The sequence below is a fragment of the Homo sapiens genome, chromosome 1 (genome assembly GCF_000001405.40).
Source record: "Homo sapiens chromosome 1, GRCh38.p14 Primary Assembly".
Classification (NCBI taxonomy): domain Eukaryota; kingdom Metazoa; phylum Chordata; class Mammalia; order Primates; family Hominidae; genus Homo; species Homo sapiens.
In genome coordinates this window covers 225395725-225401501 of record NC_000001.11, presented here as the reverse complement: position 1 = coordinate 225401501, position 5777 = coordinate 225395725, and the positions used below count along the sequence as shown (strand labels likewise).

The window sequence follows — 5777 nt, the reverse complement described above, 5'->3', positions numbered from 1 at the left end:
CTTTGGAGCCTTTTTTTTTTCCCTTTCTTGCTTGAAACTGAGATTTTTGGGACCAAGACAGGAGCCCTTAGATTCCCACCCCTGCCCAGCCTCCTGTTTTCCTAGGATCATCTGTTTGGGACCCCTGGCCAACTGCTGTTTAAAACTCTCAGAATGTTGGAACTCAAAGGGGTTAGTTGGGAATCCTAACTCCCAGAAAATGGTCATGTGTTTAGTATTTGCTGTTTGAGAAAATACAGAAATGCTAAAACTATTGTAGATCCAGTCATACTTTCAAATGCATTTGTATGAATCACAGAAGCATCTGTGCATTTGAAAGACAGTACGTGTGTGAGAGACACACGAGACACACACATGTACTGTGCCTGCTGACCGTGCTTTAGTGCTTGTTTGGATTTCCAGTTGACTCTAAGCCTGAATTGTGAGATGAGATCAGACAGCTTCACCTCTCAATTCTTCCTGCTGCGACGTTACATTGTGACATTACATTGCAAAATGTGGGTGTGTCAGAATATGCACCAATACCAAGTATACGATTTATATTTTGGTGTTTAGTTTTGCACTGTTTGGAGCAAATGATGAAATATAGGATTTTAACAAAAGATACAAGGTGGAGTGTTTCTAGGTGCAATTTACTTAAATATAGATGGTACAGTTTCCTAGACAATTAAATACATGTTTTGTTCATGGCTGTTAAAAGAGTCTAGTGCTGGGTACAAGTCCCACCTTTTCTACCCCCCTTACTATGGAGAGAGGGGACTGTTGGGATCTTCATTTGTGTACACGTGGGTTATGCTTTCTGCCCATGGACCATTGCCATGATAAAGAGACAGTGAGATGTGGCTTCAAATGCTAGCTGTGCTCCCTCTTAGCAATGTGTGTGTGGGCAATTAATCTCTTTGAGCACTGGTTTCCTCATGTATAAAATCTGGCTGATACGTCCACAGAGTATAGAGGGGCCTGAGGATGATATAGGAATTATTAGTGTTCAACATAGTGCTCAGTTATGTTAGCCATTATTAGTAGAATAACATTCTTCCTATAGGAACATTGAATTTACCAAATTCTCAGGATTTGGCTTTTAGTGGTCAGAGAGGTCTAGTGAAGTCAGAACCATATTGCACTTTTTTTTTTTTTTTTTTTAAAGAGATGGGGTCTTGCTTTGTTGCCCAGGCTGGGGTGCAGTGGCGTGATCATAGCTCAATGCAGCCTCAACCTCCTGGGCTCAAGCCATCCTCCTACCTCAGACTCTGAGTAGCTGGGACTAAAGGTGCCTCATCATGCCTGGCTAATTTTTTAAACAATTTTTTGTAAAGACAGGGTCTCATTATGTTGTCAAGGCTGGTCTTGAATTCCTGGCCTCAAGTGATCCTCTTGCCTTGGCCTCCCCAAGTGCCGGGATTACAGACATGAGCCACTGTACCCAGCCAGACCGCAATTTTTTTTCAAGACAGAGTCTTGCTCTGTCACCTAGGCTAGAGTGCAGTGGCACAGTCTCAGCTGACAGCAACCTCTGCCTCCCAGGCTCAAGTGATTCTCATGCCTCAGCCTCCTGAGCTGGGATTACAGACCTGCGCCACCACGCCCAGCCAATTTGTGTATTTTTAGTAGAGATGGGTTTCGTCGTGTTGTCTAGGCTGGTTTCGAAGTCCTGACCTCAGGTGATCCGCCCGCCTTGGCCTCCCAAAGTGCTGGGATTACAGGTGTGAGCCACCACGCCCGGCCCAGACTGCACTTCTTTAAAGAGGAAGGCCCTTCTCTTTTGTTTCAGAAGTCTGCAGCTAGGTCAGCAGTGTAGTATTCTGTGTTTACTTAGAGAAGCCAGGGGAAGTATTCCAAAGATCTATTCTACATGTGTATATTTAGTTTATTGTATATAATTTTATAAACCACTTTTACCAAAAAGTTCATAAAGGCATGCCCTGATATCCTGCCAGGTGCTGTGGTTTTTACTGTTAGGAGAGTCAAATTTGCTGTATTCCGGGTTGTGCTGACCTGTACTAGAGCCCAACCACAGGGACATTGCACAGTCAGGTCTCATGTACTTAGAATAAAAAGCAGCTGCAAGATTCCCCTCTGTGTTGAAGTTTTCATGTACAAATGAAATAGACTGCACCTGCCCAGTCTGGCTGAACACACAAATATTTTATAAAGGGTGTTGACTACATGTGAATGTCTTGAAACATGTAAGTCTGATTAGAGTCAAAAATTAAAATGGTTTGATATGGACATTTATTTTTCATTCTTCTCACAAAGCAATGCAACCCGCATTGTGATCCAGTGACTAGGAGGTTTCTTCGTTGATAAATACACTGATGTTAAAAAGTTTGTTGGTAAACCGGTAGTTGCCAAAATTCTTGACCTCTCAGGTGTCTGGTAAACTGGGCATTCAAAAGCATAGAGTTCTGAATCTGTCTGGTTGGAAGCATTTGGTGTTTTGGTAGAAATCTTTAAAAAAAAAAAAAATCCAGTAGTCAAATTGCATAGTTCAAGTGAATCAGTAGCTCACATTTTCTGTATGCTAGGCTTGAGGGATTTGTTATGAATTAGATACATTTAAGGTTAAATGGTTAATGTAACAGCATGTGGAAATTATACCTGGAGAATTTAAAGAGTATTATGGCTTTATAGTACATATTATTGAGAACATGGGATGTAAGTATAGCATCTACTTTAGATTTTAGTAATATTTTGGGAGATTTAAAATCTTTGTTGTCTGAGTATATTATCACATCTCCCTTGCAAAATTGTAGGGAATGGGAATAAGAGTGGTTTGTATATTACTGAAGCAACGCTCAGAGGTTTAGGACTTCAGGATAATAGCAGGGTGATTACCTTTGTTGGCAAAAAGTATATGTCGGGAAAATCACAGCACATCTCCAGAGGCAGCGAGTCTTCCAGTATTTTCTGTTCACGATTCCATCTTGCCCCCTCGATGAATAAACCAAAAATGTAAACTCCAGTGTGAGAGGAAGCTGAGCCCTAAGATGGAAGAGAGGTGGTGTCAGGGATCCCCAGGAGAAGCAGCGACCAACTGGAGGCTCCGTCCGGAATTGAGCCGACCGATCCAGAGGGGCTCATCCTGCCTAAGGCATGTTGCCCCAAGTTCTAAGGTGAATACTTATTTTTTTTCCTATTCTGAGTGCTTTAAAAACGACATAGGCTTAGGTGTATCTATATAATCATCCTGAACTGAAATATATGTATTTTTTCCATGACACCCTTCCTCAGCATGAAGACAAAGACCTTCAAACACAATAAATATGCAAATTTCTACAATTGTAATCGTGTAGCCGAGCTTTTTAGGACAGAACAAGAACAGTTACAAAAGGTGACAGAGTACACTGTGCTCAAACATTGTCACCTACCTTTACCATAGTGGCCATAACTACTGTTTTAGGCTCTAGAAATGTAAAAAAGGCAGAGGAGGGGTTTTTTTTTTTTTTTTTTTTTTTGACATGGGGTCTCGCTCTGTTGCCTAGGCTGGAGTGCAGTGGCATGATCTTGGCTCACTGCAACCTCCACCGCCTGGGTTCCATCGGTTCTCCCACTTCAGCCTCCTGAGTAGCTGGGATTACAGGAGCACACCACCACGCCCGCCTAATTTTTTGTATTTTTAGTAGAGATCGGGTTTCATCACGTTGGCCAGGCTGGTCTCGAACTCCTGACCTCAAGTGATCCGTCTCTCTTCGCCTCCCAAAGTGCTGGGACTACAGGTGTGAGCCACCATGCCCGGCCGGGTTCCATATATTTTTGAATGATATAGGTTAAATAGAGGATTACATTTTAATGATAAAGGGTTAAGTAAAATGAGTTTCTGATGAGGTCTGTGAAGTAGAAAATTTAGTTGCCTGCAGCTCCAATTCCAGGTGACTCCAGGTGTGCCTGAGGTAGGCCTGTGAAGCCACATGCTCTCCTGCAGGTGTGCTGGAGGGATGCCCAGCCTGGAGGAGCTGGTGGCCAAGTACCAGGCCACCCTGGAGGGCTCTGCCATCTCCTCTGATGGGGCAGGTCTCTGAAGAGAAGGGGTGGGCACCGCTGTCCTGAGCTCTCCCTTGATGCAGCCTGGGCCAGCTTGTTGACACAGGGGAGGCAGTGTGGAACAGCCTGTGCTGTGCCTGGTGATGCCTTCTGTGTTGTCCACTCTGGAATGTGACTACCTGGAGGTGCAAGCTGAACTCATATTAAGCACTTCCTATTTTGGCTTATTCTATAAAAGAATTTTGGCCGGGCGCAGTGGCTCACGCCTGTAATCCCAGCACTTTGGGAGGCTGAGGCGGGCGGATCACGAGGTCAGGAGATCGAGACCATCCTGGCTAACACGGTGAAACCCCGTCTCTACTAAAAATACAAAAAATTAGCCGGGCTCGGGAGGCTGAGGCAGGGGAATGGCGTGAACCCAGGAGGCGGAGGTTGCAGTGAGCTGAGATCACGCCACTGCACTCCAGCCTGGGCAACAGAGCAAGACTCCATCTCAAAAAAAAAAAAAAGAATTTTACTGGGAATTGCTTTGTATAATGCTTTTTACTTCTCTTCCCCTTAACTTATATAAATGCAAATTTTCCTATACTGCATTTGTTCTAGTGTTGTCCTTTCCTAACAATCTTGGAAGAAGTTAATCTAACGCATTTGACAATGTCACTTCCATTTATACTTGTGTAACTTGGTCATAGCTTACATGGGTTTTTCCTCTGAAAAATCTAAACTGTAGGTAATTTGTAAACAGCCCCTTTTGGAGTGATTTAACTCTTCAAAGAGCCACTCAGAATAAATGGAAGTAATCTTACTTCAACTCAGTGGAAGCTGGTTGTTTGTATAAAGCAGAAATAAGTGAGAACATCTGATTAGATGAATAGAGGCAAAAAGCAAACTTAGGCGGGCAGTCCATACCCCTGTGCTCCCTCTGTGAGTCATAAGAAAAGGCCCTGGTGCACATCTGCCTCTCGGTAGCCTTTTCATGTCTAATGGGTTATGTAGGAAGAGGTTAGGCTATGGGTGTAGAGTCAGCTAGACTTGGTGGGTTCAAAGCTTATGATCTGCCTCTTTGAACCTTAGTTTCCTGACCTACAGAATGAGGCTAATTTGTGAGGATTAAATAATGCAGGTAAAGAGCTTAGCACATAGTACTTAGTCAGTGTTGGCTAGCAAGCATCAGTGCCATCATTATCAGGTAGATTGGGATCTTCTAGAGGGCAGAGGCCTTACGTTGTTCATCTCGATATTTCCAACAGCCAGAGCAGTTTTGGACCCATATTTTAAATAAACAGTTGGATAAACCTCCAGTCGAAAACACATCTGAACCTGAGCTTTCTTCCACGTCAATACTCTTGCCAAGCAGTCACCTGATTTCTCCTAAAGCTCCAGTGACAGGGAACTCCCTGTCTATAAAAGGACACGCCACCATCATCATCAATTTAGATCAACTGCATGTGTCTTCCCCTTGGAGGTCCCCCTGGTTGGAGTTCTAGCAGAATTAGAGTCTAGTTCTTCATGTATCACCCTTTTCAATATTTCTTTTTCTCCTCAGAGTCTTTTGCCTTGTAGGACAAACTCTCCCAGTTCCATCCTTCTTCTGACATGTTCCTAACGTTCACTAATTCTGGGTAGTCTCGGAATCATCTTAGTGCAGTCTGATGAGTGCTGAGGAGAGGAAGACCAGGACCCAGAGGCCAAACAGCATGAGTGTCCACCACCTCCTCCCACTCCAAATCCCAGAATGCAACTATGAAAGCACCGGAAAACAAGAAGTATCCCCAGTGGACCAGAAACTGTGAGAA

General features: G+C 43.7%; 1 protein-coding gene across 25 annotated transcripts in view; it reads right to left on the bottom strand.

The window, feature by feature from the left end:
* Positions 2216-5777, bottom strand: part of DNAH14 (dynein axonemal heavy chain 14) — a 469633-nt gene continuing 466071 nt past the window's right edge. For 24 of the 25 annotated variants that reach the window (XM_011544062.3, XM_011544067.3, XM_017000296.2 and 21 more), the window contains 2 exons: positions 2836-2982; positions 2216-2448 (listed from right to left, as the gene is read on the bottom strand). In XM_011544062.3, coding sequence (XP_011542364.1) covers positions 2233-2448; positions 2836-2982 — 363 coding nt within the window. In that variant the 3' untranslated portion in view covers positions 2216-2232. Of the gene's footprint in view, positions 2449-2835; positions 2983-5777 lie in introns of those variants that run through there. The other variant, XM_047445624.1, reaches the window with a different exon arrangement.